Source organism: Homo sapiens, chromosome 5, assembly GCF_000001405.40.
Source record: "Homo sapiens chromosome 5, GRCh38.p14 Primary Assembly".
Taxonomy (NCBI): domain Eukaryota; kingdom Metazoa; phylum Chordata; class Mammalia; order Primates; family Hominidae; genus Homo; species Homo sapiens.
Window position 1 is genome coordinate 161,681,236 of NC_000005.10, and position 24,245 is coordinate 161,705,480.

General features: G+C 35.7%; 1 protein-coding gene and 1 long non-coding RNA gene across 2 annotated transcripts; one reads left to right on the forward strand and one right to left on the reverse strand.

Moving 5' to 3' along the window:
* Nucleotides 1-4,485: 4,485 nt before the first annotated feature.
* GABRA6 (gamma-aminobutyric acid type A receptor subunit alpha6) lies at nucleotides 4,486-21,357 on the forward strand. The gene is made up of 9 exons (NM_000811.3): nucleotides 4,486-4,792; nucleotides 4,995-5,113; nucleotides 5,701-5,768; nucleotides 7,714-7,934; nucleotides 8,019-8,101; nucleotides 8,401-8,544; nucleotides 8,966-9,118; nucleotides 10,706-10,965; nucleotides 20,263-21,357. The coding sequence occupies exons 1-9, from the start codon at nucleotides 4,755-4,757 to the stop codon at nucleotides 20,536-20,538; spliced, it is 1,362 nt and encodes a 453-aa protein (NP_000802.2). The 5' UTR covers nucleotides 4,486-4,754; the 3' UTR covers nucleotides 20,539-21,357.
* On the reverse strand, nucleotides 6,107-8,175 carry GABRA6-AS1 (GABRA6 antisense RNA 1). The gene is made up of 2 exons (NR_189170.1): nucleotides 8,025-8,175; nucleotides 6,107-6,411 (listed from the first exon to the last, which is right to left on the reverse strand). It is a non-coding gene; the product is annotated as a GABRA6 antisense RNA 1 (long non-coding RNA).
* Nucleotides 21,358-24,245: the final 2,888 nt, after the last annotated feature.

Consider the following 24,245-nt stretch of genomic DNA (forward strand, 5'->3'; position numbering starts at 1 on the left):
AAGCATTTTAAAATATGAAGAGAATATTTGGTTGTTAGCACGCATAGAGAACACTAGAGACACTCCGTGAGTAAGAGCAAGAGATCCTAAGTATGCTGAAATGTGTGGGACTGTCTCGCCTAGTGAGGAATTGCCCTTCTTCAAATATAAATAGCATATCCCATTGAAAACACTTCACTGAATATCAGTCTGTAAGAATTCTTAATAATTTATGACCATGAGATAAATTTACAAAATTTTTGTTTCATTTGAATTGAATTGATTTCTCTTAATCAAGAGACCACCTTTTATGTTTCTTGACTATTTTCATTGTGAATTGTAAACTTATATATATCCATATATCCATTGAAGTTATTGGCCTGCTTTTTACTTATTGTATATTTACATAGCAATCCTTTTGTAAATTTGCAAATCTAATCTTTATATTTGTGTTGCTTGCTTTAACTCCCTTAATAGTGTGCTCATTTAACATCCTTATTTGTCTCAGAAACATAGGTATGTTTGTATGTTTGGACAAGTAGCTACCCTCAATATATCATAAGGGGGAAATACTTACAAGAACACTATGCTGTGGAAATACTGTGAAATGAGTGGACTTGAGAGGCTAAATCATTCATCGAGGAACATTTTACTAAAGTTTGAGTGGTTTTATTCTAGAGCAAGTTTTCTCAGCATTGGTACTACTGATGTGTTTTGGCAAGATAATTATTTTTTGAGGGGACTGTCCTATGCATTGTAGGATAACAGCATTCCTGGCCTCTACACAATGGCTGCCAGGGTATATAATCCCCCACTTGTGGAGGAACACAATTTCTGTAGAAAGCACACTTCCAATGCTGTTTTTGAAAAGATCAATGGAGATTTTTAGGGAGAAAGTGCAAGTAAATGTTATCCAAGAGGCAATTCTGTAGCTAACTTGAATATTTGGTTTGTTTATATATGCATACATAGACATATTGATTTTTTGTATTATAAAAAGTGCCATTTAGTGTCTGGTGCCAAGTTTGCTCTTTCTGTGCAATAATTTTCTCTAATTAACACTACATCTTTAATAAGTCATTTTATATAAACAAAGCAGTGTTAGTGTGAGTGGTATATGGAATTAAAGTACAGGACACAAAAGGAATGATTTCACATTATTCTTTTACAAAATCCAGCATGTTAATAGCACTATCGTTGAAGATGATGGTAGTTCTAGGCTTCCCAGTGGAGATAAATAACAGAGCATGCAAGTGCTTGTCTAAGGTGATTCATAAAAGAGAAAATATTTTGGAGAAACAGCTATGAAATATGCAGGTATAAGATAGATATTCTCAAATTTGCCAAACGGAAGTAATTCTCTAAATGAGAGAGCTCTGATAACTGGTTTACGTAGTCAAAACGCTACATAAATATGACCATACATCTCCCAAAGTCGTAGCCATTGTCGAATTCTTAAACTCTTTTTTTTTTTTTTGCTAATTCCACAGGAGAATAATAATTGCAATCTAATTAACAGTGTTGCTAATAGATCTTGTCTGCCCGAATTCTGACAGAGATGTGTGAACAAGGGACTTCATTACATACAAATTCTCAGATTACAGAACTTGAGTATCTTAGATATTGCTAGGTCTATCACATTCTTTTAAAGGTAAGCTCAGCAGAGGGAAAATGACTAAGATTACATAGCTCATTATCCCTTCTAGCTCTACTAATATTTTTTCCTATTGAGAGTAAAAAAAGTCTTCCTTCTCTTACATTAATTTCTTATTAATTAAAACCTATGAAAAAATAAAATCAAGTGTGTTAATCTTTTGTTTAGAGACAACTGTAATTTATTAAGTGTTTCTTGTTGAAAAAATCATTTTAATGAGAAATTCTATAGGAATATTTGTAAAACTGTACAATATCATCCACGATTTTTTTTACATGTGAAAAAATTTCTGACAATCTGCAGAATGGGAGACAACTTTTGCAATCTATCCATATGACAAAGGTCTAATATCGAAATCTACCTGGAACTTAAACAAATTTACAGGAAAAAAATATTAAAAATTGGGTAAAGGAAATGAACGGACGTTTCTCAAAAGAAGACATTTATGCAGCCAACAAACATGAAAAAAAGTTCAACATCGCTGATCATTAGAGAAATGCAAATCAAAACAATGAGATACCATCTCACACCAGTCAGAATGACGATTATTAAAAATTCAAGAAACAACAGATGCTGGCGAGGCTGTGGAGAAATAGGAACTTTCTTCACTGTTGATGAGAATGTACATTAGTTCAACCAAGATAGCGTGACAACTCCTCAAAGACTTAGAACCAGAAATACCATTTGGCCCAGCAATCCCATTACTGGGTATAAAAGAATAAAAATCATTCTATTATAAAGATACAGACATGTGTATGTTCATTGCAGCACTATTCACAATAACAAAGACATGGAATCAACCCAAATGTCCACCAATGATAGACTGGATAAAGAAAATGTGGTACATATACACCATGGAGTACTATGCAGCCATATAAAGGAATGGGATCATGTCTTTGCAGGGACATGGATGGAGCTGGAAGCCATTATCCTCAGCAAAATAACACAAGAACAGGAAACAAAACAAAACACCACATGTTCTCATAAGTGGGAGGTGAACAATGAGAACACATGAACACAGGAAGAGGAAAAACAACACATGCTGTGGCCTGTTGGGGATGTGGGGAAAGGGAGAGCATCAAGTTAAGTAGTTAATGCATGCAGGGCTTAATACTAGGTGATGGGTTGATAGGTGCAGCACAACACAATGGCACACGTTTACCTATGTAACAAACCTGCACATTCTGCACATGTATCCTGGAACTTTAAATTAAATTAAATTTAAAAAAGAAAAAACAAAAACATTCGGTCTGAAAACCCTCACAAAGCTTTCTCTCTGATGACACAAATCAGAGATGAGTGGTAAACATTTCGATAGGAAAAAAAAAGAAACACAGATCTAAAAAAGATAACAGGGATAAATATAGGGTTCTCTGGTTGAAAAAAAGTTGTGATTAATCTGAAGAGAATTATTTCATAGCATCATATATACCAGATATTTAGGGGATTTAAGTAATAGCACACTTAATGTGAGTTGAAAATACATTGTGATCACCAGTGGTAGGAGGTTTAAAGGAGAATAAAAAGAATGAGTAGAGATGTGAAAATTGGATCCCATAACAAACACGAAAAGGTTTTAGGGGTGTTTCCCTTAAATTAGAGAAAACATTGTAGGTATCTTCATTTAATTGGCTGCCATGTGTCTTTCCCTGACAATAATGTATTCAAACGTTCCTCAAATGATTTATGTCATGTTCTCAAGTGTGACTGTTACGGCTGTGCTAGATGTCTGCAATAGTTACCATGGCCTTTGTAGAATTTGAATTCCAAAGGTACAGACTGTGAACTGGGTGAGTAAGGAATGAATTTGGCAGGAGGATGGTGAATTGAGACTTTTGATCCTCAATCTTATGTTCCTGAATTTAAATATCTGTGTGTATGTGTGTGTGTGTATAATATATATTATAAAATATAATATTTTATATTATATATATTTTTATAATATATATATTATATTATATTATATAAATATATTCTATATAATATATATTCTATATAATAGATATACACACACATATCTATTCACAATGCCTTTTAAAATTTTTTTATTTAATAAATTTTTTATTTAATAAATTTTTATTTAAAGAAAAGATTAAAAGTTTAAGGCTTAAATGAACTTTTTTTGACTACAACTTCCTCCTAGCAGAACTGAGAATAGAATGCTGTTTCTTGGATTCAGACATTTTCCTTTCAACCTGTGGCAAGCCTGAGAAAATAGTGCCAGAATCATCAACATTAACCACGTCTATAGATGCTTTATTTTTGCAACATTTCTGCATGAGGAGCCTTAACCTGCTATTTCTCAGGCATTGTCTCCTATAGGTGGCATTCAAGAAACTGACCAGGTCTCTAATGATAGCAGTAGATCCCACTTCTGTCTTAGCTTAAGATGACACACCTTTGACAAGAAGGGTCAGCAAAGTATCTTTAAAAAAATATTTAATCCACAGCAAGATGGCCGTGAGTTGTTCTGTTGTGTTACAAGTGCTGGTAAATAAATCATGAGCAATAATCTTTAAATACATAAGGGTGTGGCTGTAGCTAGTAATGCTGATGAAAATCAGAAAGGGAATCCAAGAGGGTCACAATAGTGTTAGACTTTTTAAACAGTAAGAGCTGTGTAGGAATCCTTCTGTGAACCATAAAAATAATAAACGCTGAGCCTATTGGAACATAATCTCAATCAGCAAGATGCCAATGCTTTCCAGATTTCCTCACAGGGCCCTGCTAATTCCATGCCAAAACTGGCAGTGGATTTCTTCCTTCTAATCTCCCTTAATGCCTTATTCGATTATTGTCACTGCTCTCCGACCATGCACTGTCCCTTCAGACTCTCCTTTCCCAACTGAGTCAGTCAGAGGAGCCTGGGTGTCTGCAGGACATAATCTAAGACCACAAACCACCTTGTTCCACGTGAGAAGGAAACAAGAAAGAAGGGAGCCAGGGGAATCCTGCAAATTTTTAGGCAACCTCTTTATCTATTGGATTACTGACTTGAGGCAAACAAGGAACAGAGATATGAAGGGTTTGAAAGATTTCTCCAGTTGATTGGCAGAGAAGAGCTGGCTAGCAGGGAGGACGACCCTAGGAGGGTGAATTCTGCATTTCAGTGCACTGCAGGATGGCGTCGTCTCTGCCCTGGCTGTGCATTATTCTGTGGTGAGTAAGATCCTTTTTCCTGATTTTTCTTTTTATCTCAGAGGAAAGGAAAAGTATACATCCATTGGGTGACTCCTATATCAAATCATGAAAGAGGCCAGAAGTGGTGTTGCATGTATTTGTAACAGGGTGGAATAGAGTAGATTAGACAAAACCTCTTCTCTGAGCCTGGGAGTAAGGATCATTGACTGTCTACACACAGGCTAGAAAATGCCCTAGGGAAACTCGAAGTTGAAGGCAACTTCTACTCAGAAAACGTCAGTCGGATCCTGGACAACTTGCTTGAAGGCTATGACAATCGGCTGCGGCCGGGATTTGGAGGTAAGAAGCTGCATCTTTGCTACACAAACACCTGTAGTTTCCTTCCTCCGTTTCTGCCCTTTGAAGACCCAGAAGAGTCAGAAACTAGGTAGTGGGAAGGGGCAGGGTACGGGAGAGAGACCATGGGTATGTTCCCATCCAGTCTCTGCCTCATCCACCATTAGTAGCCTTGTTCAAGTTATCTGAACTCTCTAAGCCTCATTTCCTAAATTGTAGTGTGGGTATATGATCAATGTTTGCCTCATAGAGTGGTATGAGTGCAAAATGAGATTATTCATGTAAAACAGTTTTATTAGCACTTTCCCATTAAAGCCATCAATATACATTAGTTATTATCATTTTCGTTAGAACGAATCTAGCTTCTTTCATTCTTTAATGTTCTCCCAATTGACTAGAATAAATTCTAAATAAGGCCACTGACATGAGTTTTCAGAGTTGAGAGACCCAAGGATCCCCACTACTGGAATGCAATAGGACACATTGCAGATACTGGCTATGATAAGTAAGGGGTTTGGTGGTAGAGGGCTGAGATCAATCCCCTTAACATCAGTGGTGATAATTGTTTCATCCCTCTGGGCTAATTTCAGGTGCTGTCACTGAAGTCAAAACAGACATTTATGTGACCAGTTTTGGGCCCGTGTCAGATGTGGAGATGGTGAGTAAGTTCTAAGTGAGTTGGGTGTTTTCATTTCGGGGAGGAGAGTGGAGTCCCAAAACTAATGATAATGGGCATTGCCGCCAAGCTTGGCTCCAGATTCATGACACAATATTTGTATTCATGCTGGGAGGGCATGACCATTAGAATGGATTCCTGGCTTAATCTTCACATTTCACTAAGGGCTTGAACATTTTAAGCTGAGGGACTTTTTAAAATTATGTCCTCTCTTCCATCCACATGCTATGCACTAATTCTTCCCTCCAAAGAGAAGAGATTTTCCCCTTTCTTTGTGAAGCTCCAGCAAATTTATTGGAGGAAGAAAAAAAACACACAGATCTTATTCCATATAAAAGTTTATTGAGTATGTCTATAAAACCTAAAGCATAATTGTCTTTTGTGGCAACATCATTATCAGTATATTTTATTAAAACAGTAAAGAGGTCATTTGGAAAGGCTGATGCTCTCCACCTTTTACATTGAGGATGGACCAGTAGGTGTTCTGGGGACTCTGTTCCAGGTACAGATGGCTGTAGCATTCATAAGAGGGTATTTATAGTAAGTAGCAATGAAAACTTGAACTCATCTTTTAGAACAAAGTGTATCATGGTATTCTTTTACGGTTCTCAGGTGGCATTTCTCTCTAAAACGGAAGTGTAAATATGAATGCTGAAGTAAACATAACTGTCTTTAAAGAGGTTCACCATTAGATTTTATTAAGGAAATGTAATTCTAAAGAAACAGTTATTGGAGACTTTTTCATTTTCTGCTTTTTTAAGTTGGCAAGAAAAGAAGATGTAAAGAAAGGAAAAAGGAAGGAGTAAAGGAAGAAGAGAAAGGGATATGGAGGAAAAGAAAGAAGAAATAAAATTGAAAGAAAAGGAAAGAGGGAGGAAGGGCTTTATTCAAGAGATAATTATCTTACTATATAAGGAGAAAGAGGAGTTAGCAATATTCAGAATCCTGAATTATTTTAGTATCATATTTTTCATTCGTGTTCTAAGCCACTCCAAGTATAAACAACTACAACAATTTGCTATTGAATTGTTGAAGTCTGAGTATACTTAGTGTTCTATCTTATGCTTGTGTCTGTTTTTACAGTTTATTTGTGCAATAGGTCCCTATTATATCATGAGTCATTATTGTATGGATATATTGCTTGTCAAATTATATTTTTAAAATGTAATCACTGCTTGCCATAATACGTTTCATAAAGGAATTTATATAGTAGGCAAAGCAATTATTGGCAATACTTTGATATAATTACAAGTTGTTATTTGTTATTGACTTTTGCAATAGCTCTTATTATAATTCTTAAACATTTTAATGCTATTTCATAAAAGCCACAGATTAAGTCATAATTTTGATGATACATACTTAAATGATACCCTCTTTAGAATAGTCACGGTAACACTTGTTTATATGTTCCCTGAGAACAATATAAAATAATTTTGATGTGCAGCTATAGTGTGTTTATCAAGTAAGGTTTATCTATGTGTGGAATTTTACTGAATGGTACTCTGAAGCTCTGAAATACCTTTGAGGGTGAATGAGGTGCAAAGGGGAATAGTTAGTCTAACCGATGGTATAAAGGCCAGCCAGCACAAAGGCTAAACTAAATATTTCCATATTTTTTTTCTAGATTAAGAAGGACATATTGATAGATGGAAATATGGATGACTGGATAGATAAAGAGGAAGAATATTAAGGAAAGTCAAGGTGGAGGAGGGAAGTTTACATATCACAGCACTATCTTTTATAACAATGCAAACTTTCTGAGTTTGAGAACAATAATAACTAGCTAAAATTATAGCTTTGTGAGAAATTATTGCGATAAAAAGTTGCTTTATTGCTTAAGTTTTGAGATTGGGTGTATAGGCTAGTGAATAAACTATTCTTAGCAAACTATCTTTCCAGCCCACACAAATATTTTATTTTCTCTTAGGAGTATACGATGGATGTTTTTTTCCGCCAGACCTGGACTGATGAGAGGTTGAAGTTTGGGGGGCCAACTGAGATTCTGAGTCTGAATAATTTGATGGTCAGTAAAATCTGGACGCCTGACACCTTTTTCAGAAATGGTAAAAAGTCCATTGCTCACAACATGACAACTCCTAATAAACTCTTCAGAATAATGCAGAATGGAACCATTTTATACACCATGAGGTGAGGTTTCTCCAATTCTATTTCCCCTGCCTAAATGATATGTCCATAATACTAACTCAGAACCGTTGATTTCAATGTTTCTAGGCTTACCATCAATGCTGACTGTCCCATGAGGCTGGTTAACTTTCCTATGGATGGGCATGCTTGTCCACTCAAGTTTGGGAGCTGTAAGTTACAACAGGCTTCTGAGAGTCAAATAATACATCCAAAATATATAATTACTTGGTTTTAGTTGATACTGGAAATCAAGGAAGAAATAGAATCATGACACTATCAGTGTGATTCTAGGAATATACTTAATCATTCTGTCAATCTCATAAATTGAGGCTTTAGTCACCAAGATTAAAGAAAACATTAAATACAATCTATGTTTGTATTTCCTTTTTTATAGACAATGTGCACTTTGAAGGAAAAAAAGACAACTCGTCAAATTCACTGCTATATTTAATTTGTTTCAAATATTTAGATGCTTATCCCAAAAGTGAAATCATATATACGTGGAAAAAAGGACCACTTTACTCAGTAGAAGTCCCAGAAGAATCTTCAAGCCTTCTCCAGTATGATCTGATTGGACAAACAGTATCTAGTGAGACAATTAAATCTAACACAGGTAAGAATTTGACCAAAGGATGGAAATAATCCCTCAGGATGACTCCAGTGCACATTTTCAAAATATCTATTTCTTTTTCCTTCGCCTTAGCCATTCTCAGCTAAGCATGCTGTTTTGCAGTGATGAGTAGCTTTCCTTAAAACTGATTTTGCAACCAGGTGCATATAAAGATTTGTGTAATCTTGGAATAAGTAGTTTTTTTTATGTATATGATATAAAGAACCCTACTGAAAACAATAAGTTGATGTGTCTCTTCGCTCTATCATCTGCTGATCAAGTAGCTTTCTCATATACTGAAATGTACCTTTGCTTGTTTTCTTCCAGTCAATGTTAATTTAAAAGTTGTCAAGATTTATATTCAACTGCATTCTTTTTGCAGACTGTCAGCAGTAATAATACTGATGTATGTGTCTTCCAACAGGTGAATACGTTATAATGACAGTTTACTTCCACTTGCAAAGGAAGATGGGCTACTTCATGATACAGATATACACTCCTTGCATTATGACAGTCATTCTTTCCCAGGTGTCTTTCTGGATTAATAAGGAGTCCGTCCCAGCAAGAACTGTTTTTGGTATATGTCACATTTTGTACTTCACGTACATTCATCCTCCACCTTTCATTGCTTGTGTATTTTGAGTAAATATTTACACTGGTGCACTTTTTCAATCCACAAAGAAAATAGGTTCCTGTCTCATCCAGACATATGTATCATGCAAAATCACTGTCATTATATCACAAATTGTGTGATGAATCAAAAAAAATTTTGTCTCAGTGAGAATTATGGCTGGTTTCCTATGACTTTCATGTGTCCTATTTGCAGTGCTTTATCTTGATTTTCTTTGTCATAACTGAGGAAAAGCAGAAAGTTAAAAACTGCATGTAAATCCATGAAAGCAAAAGATTAAGGTATTGAACACAGTAATACATAGGTTGTATACCCCTTTTATTAGGTTGAACCATATAAAATTGTCATTTCGTCAATTTTTTATGATTCAACCTACATATTTAGTTCCACTTATAGATAGAATCACTACTAATTTTAATAAAACAAAATTAAATAATAAGAAAAAGAGCTTCAACTGGAAACATCAGTGACACATTCCAGTGTTTTTCCTGGGTTTAATGTTTATAAATTTAGTAGTCTCTAAGATAGACCTGAATTGAATAGAAATCATAAATCTTGATTTTTTAAATTTACTAAGTTAAAATAGATTTTTTGAAAATTACAAAAGAATGCCAACATAATGATGTTGACCATCAATATTATACATCTCCTAATAGTATAAATTCCCCAGGCCATAGTTCAAGAAGGAAAACTGCCAGCAAGTGAGTGATAAATTTTATCTTCTAATGAGTAAATATTATACCTTAAAATCTAGCTAGAAACACAAATTAGGTAACCTAATTTTATGCTAATATTTATACCATATTTATTTATTAACTATCATTTAATATGTTAGCTGGTAAAATTGGTCTGAAATTCAAGTTTTTTTTCTTTTTCTTTCCTTTTTTTTTTTTTTTTTTTTTTTTTGAGACGGAGTGTCCGTCTGTCGCACAGGCTGGAGTGCAGTGGCGGGATCTCGGCTCACTGCAGGCTCCGCCTCCCAGGTTCACGCCATTCTCCTGCCTCAGCCTCCGGAGTAGCTGGGACTACAGGCGCCCGCCACCAAGCCCGGCTAATTTTTTGTATTTTTAGTAGAGACGGGGTTTCACCGTGTTAGCCAGGATAGAATGGTCTCGATCTCCTGACCTCGTGATCCGCCCGCCTCGGCCTCCCAAACTGCTGGGATTACAGGCGTGAACCACCGCGCCCGGCCTCAAGTTTTTTTTTCTTAAGTGGTAATAATTTGTTACAAGTTCTCTCAAGCCCTAAACAACTAGAACTATTTACGACTTAAATTTTACAATAACTAGTTCAATTCAGCAAACTCAAAATTTTTTGAGCAGTTATAATGTATGTCACTTCACTAAATATTGAAAGATTCAGAAATGATAATACTTATGATAATAATTATGAACAATTATAATACAAAAAATATTTTTAAAAATGACTTTGCCTTGGTAGAGTTTTTTGTCTTCTCCTCTGACACATTCTCATTTGATTTTGCCATAGGATTCCCAGTACTAATATTACAATTCCTATTCTTTTTTATTTTAGGGATCACCACTGTTTTAACTATGACCACTTTGAGCATCAGTGCCCGGCACTCTTTGCCAAAAGTGTCATATGCCACTGCCATGGATTGGTTCATAGCTGTTTGCTTTGCATTCGTCTTCTCTGCGCTTATCGAGTTCGCAGCTGTCAACTACTTTACCAATCTTCAGACACAGAAGGCCAAAAGGAAGGCACAGTTTGCAGCCCCACCCACAGTGACAATATCAAAAGCTACTGAACCTTTGGAAGCTGAGATTGTTTTGGTAATTGTTTACTTTTTCTATCATTACCTACCGTAGGAAAAAGCAGCCTAAATAGTGATCAGAAACAACGAAAGTGTCCAAAAGTAATGTGAGTTGAGCACAGGTTATATAACTGTAGTTTCAAGAGCAAGGCCAGTTTCTGTTCCAACTTCACAGAGAAAAGCTATGGAACAATCCTTCATTTATCTTTGCTGTAAACTTTGGGCATTCTTCTTTCATCATCCTCACTTATACTGGCAGATTCCAGGCTCTCAGAGGAGACTAGAAAATTCTAAGCCTTTAGATGTTTCTTTTGAACAAAATCACTTGTACCAAGTAGGGGCAAAAAAGTTAAAACAAAATGTTTTTTCTAATGAGGTTTCAGAGTGCAGGAAAGACACAAGGACTTCTATGGAATGGACAATTTTTGTTATAAATCTGCTTGCTGCTTTATTTCAAGAGGGCAAGGCATCTGTGAATAATGAATAATAGATTCTCTGAATGTTGAGTCATAACCCAATAATTTGATTCATATTAAAACATTTTCATATTCACATTTGTATATTAAATATATGTATATCAATGAGTTTATAGTCAATGGCTTACGTTCAGTGAGAAATAGTTATAAATTTTTGTTAAATTTGCTGTGGCTAAGTTCTGGTCCCCAGAGGTTTTTGAATAAGAAACAAATGGTAACATTAATATTTCAAGGGCCATTAATATGCCCCCAGATTTCAATTTTGCATAAAATTAAATTATAACAACAATTAAGCTGAACATACTTATTTTAATGGATAATAAAACTGATTGACAGTCATAAATTTTTATTTTAATACAAATCTTAAAGAGTAGCTGTTAGAAGAGGAATGTTTTGCTCTGTGAATTCAAGTAAGGCAGACACTTTGAACTGAAATTTTTTTTACAACTGATCCATTCTAGTAAGCATTTCCATATCTGAAAACTACACGCAGCCCAGTAATCCTCAGTTTAACTTTATGATAAAAGTTTTAAAGCGATTTGTTTTTTACTTTTCAGAATCTGTGGCACTTGTTGACTGAAAAGGTGATCATTTTCTTATTGACATTTTGTCTTTGATAAACTAAGAAACTTGTTTGAGAATTTATATTTTCTCCAAGAAATGAGAGGCATCCCCATAATATGTAGAAATATATAATTTAAGGATTTTTTATTAGCCCTTATTTAAAAAAATAAAGAAAAAAGAAAAAAATGCCATTCAGTGATCCAGTTTAATTACCTTCTTTTATAAGTGAAAAACACAGTCTAGGAGAGGGAAAATATTAGTTTCTAGTTGGTAGAAAATCTAGGAATTGATTCAAAAACTTTGTATAAGCCGAGTGCAGTGGCTCACACCTGTCATCCCAGCATTTTGGGAGGCTGAGTTGGGAGGATCACTTGAAGCCAGGAGTTAAAAATCAGAATGGGCAACATAGCAGGCTGACCCCCATATCTGCAAAAATAAAAAAAAAAATTGCTCTGTGGTGGTGGCATATGCTTGCAGTTCTAGCTATTCAGGGAACTGAGGCAAGAAGATTGCTTGCATGCAGGATTTTGAAGTTACAGTGAGCCATGATCACACCGCTGAACTCCATCTTGGGTGACACATTTAGATACTGTTTTTGTAATAATAATAATAATAATCAGAAGAAGAAGAAGAACCTTTGAAATCCACAATATTACAGAGACTGAGGCCACCCTTCCCAAGAATTCCCTAAAGACTGAAATATGCCAGGGTGCATACCACAGGATAAAACATTTTAAGAAAGTAGTTGAGTCCCAAAATTCTTCCTTTGACTTAATAATATATTCTTTATGTATCTGTAGTTTGAAAGGTTACCAAAATATAAATTTTGTAACAAAATATCCTAGTCTGCAGACTTGCTCCACAATGTTAAAACCATTTTTTGTCATGATAAATTCCAAATGTTTCTGAGAATTTTTTCATATTAGTAGAAATAAGTGATTCTGTTACAAGGTATCCGTATGCATATAAGTATATAATCTATATATTGTCCATAGGTCATCTATATATTAATATATGTCTATAAATGAAAAAAGTGCTTATCAGGATTCAGCTTACCAGTTTCTTATTTGAGTAAAGTAGTAAGAGTGAAAAAAAAAAAGATCGTCAAAAACAGAAAAAAAAGGATCCATTTTGAATATGCTCATAGATCAGATATTGAAATAAAAACAAAGACCAATTTTTTGCTTTACCTTTTTTGAAATATGCAGTACTGAGAAGAGGATGATTTCAAATCCTTGGAGAAAACGTAATCACCCCCTCAGGCTATTATTTTAAAGATATAATTTATTAATTTAAGATGGAATTTAAGATCTCAGGTTTTGATATAAACTGTCTCCTATAAACCTAAAATAGTAACATATAATGAGTAGGTCCTCTGGGAAGCTAGATTTTAAAAAATGGTATGTAAATTATCTCCAAGTACTTTTTTCCTGCAGGTAGCATTTATTTTTTCTTGTGAAAAATTATATTTCTGAACCTGGTTTTACTTAAAATGTTTTAAAGCAACACATAGGGAAATTTTGATTCTAAAAGGCTGAAGTGTAAAAATAAACATAAAAACAACAATGACCAAATCAAACAATGTAAACCTTGAAGGTATCAAAACTAAATATAGGTGATTACATAGGACATTTGCATTACATTTGTTCGTGTCAAACCTTGGCAAGTTGTCTTATATGATATAGAGGAACAAACATAAATTACACATTTGCAATTTATACTACACAATGGTATATTTTGATTGCAAGACATTTTCTCCCAAATACCATGACATTTAAAAATATCTATTCAGTTGTAATCAAAACAACATTATTTGAATAAGTTTGACATTGAAACAGCAAACTAATGTGGTGAAGTTGAAATGAAATTAAGTGCTTGGATATTTCATGTGATTCTATGTTGTATATTTTAATATGTTCATTGCTTTTCACAAGAAACTACTTACAGTGAATGTGGGTAAAAATTTATTCATTTTATCACTTTGATTCTGACCTTAAAACATGATAGTAATGGAGAAACTCAAGCATTTAAAATCTAGATCTCAAACCCAAAAAGGCACCTTAAAGCTAAATCTTCAGAAATGCTCTATAGACTAATTATCTTTCTGTTTTTAAGACATATGGAATTGGATATTTTATTTTTTATTATTTATTTCTGGAAAAGAAATTGTCAACAGTGTTTTTCCCGCTTATATGGTGATTTTTTCTTATTGTTTTTATCTAGCATGCTACCTTAATATTAGAGAGTTACTTATATCTTCATGAGTTTCAGAGCCTATTAACATGTCTGGAGTATACCTGTACCTATACTGTGTGTAAGACCAACTTTGGTCCTTGATTTGTTTTTGCATAGTTTGCTAGTTTCCTTGTTATTTTAAAGGCCTAAGCCCTTATCACTATGTTCCTGACAGTCAATCACTCACCCATTCCATCTGCAATCCTTTGAGCAGTGTCATTACTCTCAATGTAGCTTCTCTTCTTTACATGGGTGTGATGCCTTTTGTAAATTATATAACATAAAATTAACCAAAATTTCATTAGTCAGGACAATTACTATATTTATGTTGATTGCATTATTTATTCATTTCTTTTTTTTTCTTTCCATCTGGCACCTATTTATTGACTATTTATGCATTCGTTGAATTATTCATACCATATATATTTGATAAGTGCCTTTATGTGCCAGGCCTTTTGTAGAGTGCTGAGGATATATTAGTGAGTGATATCAGAGGGCCTCTTCCCTCATGGAGCTTCTTGTCCAGCAGGAAGTGAGAGAGATCAATGAGCCTTAATAATACCTTGGAATAAAGTCCGTCATTAGAGATGTATAGTGAGCTGCAGAAGAGCCATGCAAAAGTGTCTAACTCAGTCTGGAGAGGTTTTCGTTTCTAGCAGAGTGATGTCTAAGCTAAGAACAAAAAAGAAATTAGCCTGGCTCTGTGCTAGAAACTCTAAACCAGTTGCTACAAACTTGGGCATAGAGAGGGAAATAAGTTATATACCCTTCCTGTGCTCCTTTTTAAGGTGGTAAGGTGCACTGGGCCATTACCATGCTGCTTTCATCTATGTAGAGAGATGTGAAGAATAGAATACTGAAAGGTTTACCTTGCCTACTCCAAATATTGCACAGATTTTTTTTTTTTTTTTTGAAACGGAGTCTTGCTCTGTCGCCCAGGCTGGAGCTGATTTTTTTTGAGTACTGTCATTCCTCCCTACAATTAAGGACTGAATTAAGACCATTAAAGACTCTATGTGCCAGAAAGATCACAGTGCCCTTCTTGGTTGTGCCATTGTATGATTTATGGGGAAGGCAGGATGGATTAGACGAGGGTTGTAGGTGGTTAGCCCCTTCCCCATACCTTCTATCAAATCCCCACCCAATATTTTATTATGAACTCTCCAAACATTCTGATATGTTTTCTAGAGATGTTCCCTAGCACCGTGGATCAATTATTCAATATATTGCTGCCAATAAGCTGTGTGTCTGTAGAAATTCTGGAGTTGTGTCTGTTTTCAACTCTACCAGCTGAAACACAAACACAGGAAAACCCAACAGAGTTCTAATTTTCCCCATAACGATTAATATGATGACTTTTGCAAACTATCAATACTGTTTTCAAAAAAATATTTTCTCTCATCTGTGTTGTCCCTCTTTGCTCTTTCTAAAAACAAATGCTTGGTTGATCCCTTCAGTAAGGCAGCCCTGGTTAGAATATCGTTTTAAATGGTGGGGGTGATAGGTTACCTCTCAGACCTACTGAGACTCATTGAATTACATATAAAAATCTGTCTAAATACTTCCTAAACATCTTTTCCCTCTATCAAATAGTTGATTGTCATAAAGTCCAGTTTGACTTAAAGTACCTTTGCAATATGACATTACTTGAAACAAAGCAGCGCTCTATAAATACCTAAAGCAGGATGGCACTCAGCAGCAGGGGAGCCCTGCAAAAATTCAAAACCACAGGCGTTCCACTCAAAACAGTGACAGCCCCAAGCTGAGCCCTCATCTGGACTCTGACAAAAGCCTATTTTACCATCAGCTGAAGCTGCTATGCTTACAATAGAGCAGGAAGGGACTGAAGCAAACCTGTAGCTTAAACGGCTCACAAAATTTGCTTTCTTTTCATTTCAGAAATTCAGCGTGTTCCTTCTAAACTGATGTCCAATCTCCTTGTTCTGTCAATTGCCAGTTATTTAGCAGCTGATTATCCAGATGTAGAGTAGCCAGGCCTCTTGCATTTCCTTTAGCCTATCATATTTGCTGCCTGTAGAAATTTCCCCAATCACTCCCGGGCAGTGGGACACTTGTGACTCTAAGCCAGTGATTTCCTATGGGGAGCTATTTCCCCCAAGAGACATTGGGCAATGTCTGGAGATACAACTTGAGGTGGAGGTGGCTAATGGTATCATGTTGGTAGAGGCCAGGGATGCTGCTCTACATCCCAGGACACAGAGGATGGTCCTCCATAACAAAGAGTGATTGGCCCCAAAAGATCAGTAGTTCTGAGCTTCAGACACTGTGCCCAAAACGCTAAAGCTGATAGGAAGAATAGCATAATAATTGTTAAGAGCGCGGTCTGTGGCATCAGAGGGAAATTGAATTCAGGTCCTGCCACTCATTATCTTTGTGAGCTTCCTGCTTAAGCCTACGTTTGCTCATCTATCAAATGAAGATAATATGACATTGTGGATTTTTTGAAGAAATTCGTGAAATAATATTTGAAAATTGCCTTGTAATGCTAGTCAACAATAAACATTTAGAACCGGTACTTATAATGTAATATAAAAGTGCATTAAAATACAATGTAACATAATCATAAAACTTTTCATCCCCCTCTTTGCCTACTTCCTCCAACAAATCTTGGGAAATGTTTAGATTTTTTTCATTTGTTGATTCGGCATTTGTTTATTAAAGAAATACTGTGTTTTAAATACTTGCTAGGCACTGTGGAATGCTCATACATATGAATAATGTGCCTTCTACCATTAAAGAGTTTCCATGCTAGGAAAGGAGATAAGCCACAACAAAAATAATTATACCTACAAAACAGAAAATAAGAATATCTACAAGAGTCATAATAACTAGGCAGAAAAATGCATAAGGCTGGAGAAATCAGTGATGGTAGGTGTTAATGAGTTTGGTAGCAAAAGATATGAGGGAAAGATAAAAATGGGTGGCAGGTGGATGTTATTTCAGACAAAGAAGAAATAAAGATAGGTGAGTGGTGAGAATGAGAAGCAGACATATTTTGAAAATGATTTAAAAAATAGATATAGCTAAGATTCCTGAGCAAAAAAATATGTACATATGTATATGTGTATATATATACACATATATATGTTTGTGTATATATCTTTAAATCATGCCTTTTTCTTAAATTCTTAAAAACATAGGAAAAAAGTTACTTGTTAAGTAATATTTGTCCCTACCTTCACAGAAACTTGAAGCTGAGAGAGAATTAGAGCCTATAGCACCTAGGAGGTGTTTAAATTATATTGCACGCAATTAGTAGCTATGAAACTGTAATCTAGGGATTTCCAACTCTCCTTGTTCTCTTAACTCCTAGAAAACCCTCCACAGAGATTGTTTGGGGAAGTAGATGAGGCAAAAGGGAATGCTAATGTAGGAAATCTTTAATTTCAATATAATTTAATTTTAATTTTTTAATTTAGGTAAAATTACAGTATCCATTTTACTACAAATTTTTTGTGGTGTTTGGTTCTGAATGGTACTTCTGACTTCCGGACCATAATTATTTGGGAATCCTCATTCAGTCTTTTGTGACATTGTGACAATGCACAGATTCACAAATGACTGCCCCCACCACATCTCTAAAAAACGGGGAGAATAAGCAAGGCTTTACATTTTTATGGTATTTAATGTTTTATAATCACTGCTTTATTCCAAACAACTAGGCATGTCTTCCCTCTTTCTACCTAAAATAGAAAGAAAAACATGTTTCAGACAGATAATGCATGCTGTTAAAAGTCAAAATGAGTGTAGAAAGAAAATCTGCTCTGAAGGCTGGCTTCTTTCTACTCTATCATGATTCTCATAAATGTTTGCTAGAGGAAAGTATTTTAGTGTTCCATATGTGGGAGGAGGATGGCTCTTTTTAGAGGGTGAAACAGTGACACCTTTTGCTCTTTCAGGTAGAGAATATTTTAATACTATATTTAATAGGTGAAAATTTAGAGTCTGAGAAACATGATAGAAAATTCTTGAAAATGGTTCTGTGTTCTCTAGGAGAGGCAGCATGCACTGAGACAGTTACTCTGCTTCTATCCACACACAGCCTGGTGATCCTGGGCATAGTAGTCCTCAGCTGTCATCTTTTTTTTTTTTTTTTTTAATGCAGTCTTGCTCTGTCCCCAGGCTGAAGTGCAGTGGCCACCATACCAGCTAATTTTTGTATTTCTAATAGAGACGGGGTTTCACCATGTTGGCCAGGCTGGTCTTGAACTCCTGATGTTGTGATCCACCCACCTCCGCCTCCCAAAGCTGGGATTACAAGCATCAGCCACCATGCACAGCCCATCTATTTTTAATAGAAAGTTTCCCTCATCTCCTCTTCAAGAGCAGCATACTAGCCCTTCTAATATCTTAAACTCTCTTCTACCTCTAAGACCTATGACTAATTTAATTCTGTCCAGAGTACCACAGTACTGGGCCAATAGATAATAAGAAAGATAGCCCTTGCTTGGAATTCACTGTGGTTTTTTCAAATCAAATCTTGACTACACCATTTGTTTTTGCTTTTGGTAAAGAAACACATTTCTCCATGGCCCCTAAAAACAGTGAATTTAAGCTCTCTGCAATAACTATTATTATTTAGATACCCAGTAAGTTTCATGGCAAATCAAACAGCAAAATCAAGAGGAGAATATAGAAAAGAAGTTTTGGGAGTTGTTGTCCCTTTAGTCCAAATGTCACCACATCGGCAGGTCATTTTGGTCCTGTGGCTCAACCAGCACAGGGGAGGAAGCTGTCTTATACTGTTGCCGCAGTGTTGCTGGCTAAAGCCACGGGAGTTTGCCCACGTGGGTCACATACCCTGCCAGGCAGCAAAGTGGTGATTTTGCTGCCAGCAAGGAAACAAGGCCATTTTACAATATCAGGGGTAATGCACAGCAAGTGTTTGAAGGCAGAGGCCCAGCAAAGACAAGCTAGCCACAAGGAGGGTGTTTGTTACAGGATGCAGACAAGAAAAGATAGGAATCAGAGGAGGGCCCCCTAGACACCAACGGCATGAAAGGAATCTAAATCAAACAGAATCAGAGTCTCTGAACTAGGCCCAATACTTTAGAATAAAGATGAGAAAAATGTTGGAATGAAACAGGCACTGAAATTGACCATTGGAGTTTATTGCTAGCCCTGCCATCATGGAGAAGGCATTTCCCCTATCTGGACCCTAGCCTCACTTGCCAGTGATTGTGTTAAACATCCCATTCAAGACTATAGTTGATTGTGTCATGATTTCAGTGAGACAGGAGGTTTAGAGATAGAAAGGAGCATATAACAAGTCTGAGTTTAGTAAATGAATCATTTTTAGTGACTGAAGATAGAGAAAGACCAGTTAGAAAGTTCTGAGCGGGAAGTAAGGAGTGTACAATATAGAAATTCTGAGCTAAGAGGCAGCTATATTTCAAGGTATGAACAGTCATCCTACTCAATGTAAGGATATTTATTCTTTGTCACTGGCCTTTGGCATACATAGGCTAATTTTATTTATTTTTTAAATCCTTAAATCATAGCTGATTCAAGCTTATGAGTGTGCAAAGATGAGAATGTAGGCTGGGAATGTGTACAGAAGAATGGCGTCAATAAACCAGGCTGTAATTTTTTTGTACTAATTGTCCACATATTCCAAATTGGAATTCACCCCTCCTCCCAATACACACTATTGCCCAAACCCATTGCCCTACAGACTAATGCACAACCAGGAGTGGCTAGGCCTCTGCAACCTGGCTCGTCTTTCCCTAAGGATACAATGCTTACCGTAGTTCTATGACATGAAACATGCTTTGTGTTGTTTGCTGATGTATTGAGTAATAGAATGTCAGATGGAAGCAAGTAAATTATTTTACAATGTATTTTAAGCCTTACTTGGAAAAGTAACACCAACAAATACTATTAAGAATTCATTGATGTTTGACCTTACATAGAAAGTAAGTCGTCAATAAATATTTGTCAATGGTGAAAGAGTGAATAAATAAGCAATTAAGCAATATCTATTCTTTCATTTGGGCTTAATATTTGTCTTTTTTCCACAGCATCCTGACTCCAAATATCATCTGAAGAAAAGGATCACTTCTCTGTCTTTGCCAATAGTTTCATCTTCCGAGGCCAATAAAGTGCTCACGAGAGCGCCCATCTTACAATCAACACCTGTCACACCCCCACCACTCTCGCCAGCCTTTGGAGGCACCAGTAAAATAGACCAGTATTCTCGAATTCTCTTCCCAGTTGCATTTGCAGGATTCAACCTTGTGTACTGGGTAGTTTATCTTTCCAAAGATACAATGGAAGTCAGTAGCAGTGTTGAATAGCTTGCGGCCAGGACAACCTGAATTCTATAAGTTCTTGTTTTCTGTTTCCTATGTTTTCTTAAAAAATAGCATTGAGACTTGTGTAGATGCTTCTCAGAACATGAAATCAAATTGGAAATCTGTAACGCAGCTTCCGTAAGCATGTGTGGGCAAAAAAGCAATAATCCTACTCCTCAAAATAGAAAGTTGAAGATTGCTGAAAAATATGACTTTTCTGTATGTTAGAGAAAAACTTTATGAGGATGAAATGGGTTCAAGATGAATTTGTCAACTTTTGTCTTCCATTGTTCAGTATTTTTAATTGTCACTGTAAATAACATTTACCACAAGGCAGATAAAATAAGAAATGCTGACACTTCCAAAGGTTGCCTTAAAATATGTTTATTTTGGCTTAGTTCCCGAGAGGGCAAAATATAAATACAGTCTAAATATTTATCAGTAGGTTAATACCAGCATGTTGGAGGCCTTTATGCTAGTAAAATGGCTTTCAGTGGCATTGTAAAGCCTACATTGAGCTTAGCCATTTGTTTTTAACCTCGCTGTGCTCTTTTACCTCAATAAAATGTGGTGTTTGTATACATATAAATTATACATAGCTCATAAATTATGTATGCATATGTACATAGCTGTAGTTGGACTAAAATTCAGTGTGTTTTATCCTACTAAATTCTCCTTTTAAAATAATACACTTACCATAATTCTATGAGGTTGTAGAAAAAAGTACTCATTATAAGGAAGCCTTGTATATTATGACTATGGTTATCTCTTGTGTTTTCCACATTTCCAATTATAACACTAAATAAAACAACAATAAACATGGTTCTCTGGATCTGTCTCATACAACTAGAGAGAAACCTTCTTTAGGTGTGAAGAAGTGAAGTGGTTACCTCTACCCCAATGTTATTGCCCCTGGTGAGAGGTAGGAGAAATGGGACAACCAGGCTCAGTTACCTAGTGCTGATAAAAGATTTGAATTTATATTCAAATAGTTAATCTTTCCTCTATTCCTGCTCAATCAACAATGAAAAATGAATAAGACTACTCTTCTCCCTTTCCATTACTCCCGTTCTTTCCTGATGCTTCACTCTAACAGTATTTCTCCCACACAGAATTCTTATAGGGAAGTAGGAACTAAGAGTAGGAGAAAGCATGTGGTGTGATTTGTTGAAATGGACAAACCCCTCATTAGATGTTCCTGGGTCTTAAACATCATAGAGATCACCTTGAGACCAGAACCCAGAAAAAAAAATTTGAATACTACTACTGTCTTATTTTTACCCAGAAAAATGCAAACATACTACAGCTAAACAACTTGAAGTTTAATTGAAACAGCACTCTACTAAGTGTGAGGAGACTGAGGTCTCTGTGCAACTTCTGTATCATTTAGCTCCTTGGCCCAATATCTTTGTTTTGGGGAGACTCAGCTTTATTCTCATCTATAGAATGAGGGAGCTGATTAGATGCTCTTCAAAGACCCTTTCATTTTGAACCATGTACGTTTGTTTCATAATTATTATTTTCTGTCTAAATAAAATTGGTATAATTATACAGGGTATATTAAATAATTAAATGTCAGGTGGGTGTTAATCATCTTATATGCTAGGTCTCATTTAATCTACCTCACAAACCTGTAAAGAATATACTGCTATTATCTCCATTTAAAGATGAAGAAACTAAGGCTCAAAGAAGATGAATAATTTTGTTCAAAATCAAAGAGCACTCAAGTGCTATAGCTGATAATCAAACCCAAGCGATGTGAATCCCTAGCTTTTTCATTTAACCATACCTATAGATGTCCTCATCTAATATGATATGACCCTATTCTTTTATCCCTTCTTCTATTCTCTAGCATTGTTTCACTTGTATGCCACTTTTTGTAATAATTGTCCTGGGGTTCTGACATCACCTGTGCCCCTCCTCAACATTCATTCTACATCTCACTCATTACGCTCAGTCAGCATTTATGCTTAGAGCTGGAACAGATAGATAAAATCAAGTAAATAATTATAGACCTTATGTTCCTCCCCTACGAAGGGATCTTTCAAGAACAAAACTTTATACAATTATAAAACTTTCAAATTCTCAGGATTCCAGAGAATGCTGTTTCTCAATGTATGTCATGGGATGGTAATAGTGGTTAAGTGAAAATAAAACAGTTTCCTTAGTTAAAAAACTGGAGGAGAGATGTTGAGTCAAGGTGAGACAAATGTCTTTTCTGCTGGACTTCTCACAGCCATGATGATACTTATGTGCACTATAAATCTCTAATACTGTAACATTTCCCAAATTCATATAACTCTAAGTATCATTTTGCACGGAGGAAATCCTGGGAGTGGCATTTTCCAGAAAACAATTTAGAAAACACCACATAAGATTCTATTTATTCTATTCCCTCTGAGGAGGGGCTCATCAGAGCAAAGTCTCAGATCTCTGTGGTTTGTCCATGGCTGCTGAAATCTCAGGAGCCTGAAGGAGAACAATTGTATATTTGGGCTCAGCTTCTTGAAGAAGGGCTGCTTGGCTGAAACTGTTAACTCTGGGAGGACACAATGAGGCTGGTTCTGGGAATGAAAAAAACTGGAGACTGAAACCAACTGTTGTCACAAGGTGAAAGGTAACATCGAGAGAAAAAGCAAGTCAATGAAAGAGATAAAATTCCTTTCCTTTTCCTCCTGTCTTTCTGTCTCACTCCTCTGCTATCAGCAGAACCTCACAGAAATCCTTGTGTCAGAGAAAAAATGAAAAGTACAGAGTTCCAGCCCAGGCATCAAGAAATAGAGTATAGAGGTTGGATATAGAGCTGACAGATAATTGCTTACTAACTAGCACAGCTTGCCCCTTTGTTTATTCAGTACCATACACACACTTTTGTATATATTAATATTTATACTGTTTCACAGCAATAAGATGCAAGTATCCTTCATACAAACAAATATGCTCTCATCATTTGTCCAAAAAGGAGGTATACAAAAATCCCAACAGTTACAGTATCCATCTCTAGGCAATCATCACATCTATTTCTGAGTGATGCTATTTACTCTTTGACAACCACAGTCCCACCAGAATATTCTGTTTCCTAAAGACTCAATTACAAAATATTGTATTAGTCTGTTCACATGCTGCTAATAAAGGCATATCATAGACTGAGTAATTTATAAAGGAAAGAGATTTAATTGACTCACAGTACCACATGGCTGGAGGGCCTCCCAATCATGGTGGAAGATCAAGGGACATCTTCCATGGCAGCAGGCAAGAGAGAGCTTGTGTAGGGGAACTCGCCTCTATAAAACTGTCAGATCTCATGAGATTTACTCACTATCATGAAAACAGCACAGGAAAGACCTGCCCCCATAATTAAATTACCTCCCACCAAGTCCCTCCCACAACACGTGGGAATTATGGGAGCTACAATTCAAGAACAGATTTGGGAGGGGACACAGACAAACTGTATAAAATATCTAAGATAAAAAAACTTTATATAAAATAGTAAGGTGACAGCAAAAGGGGGATAAAAAAATGAGACCTTTTAATATATGCAAAGGCAAATATATCTAAATATCTATTTGACAATTGTGCATATATAGCTTTATCTATAAAAAGGATAATCAGTGAAGAGTAAGATTTGTATAGGCGCTATAGTCTTCATGGCTGTAGTTGATATTTACAAATTCCTTCTTCCACTAGCCTTTTCTCTTAGTATCTTAGCT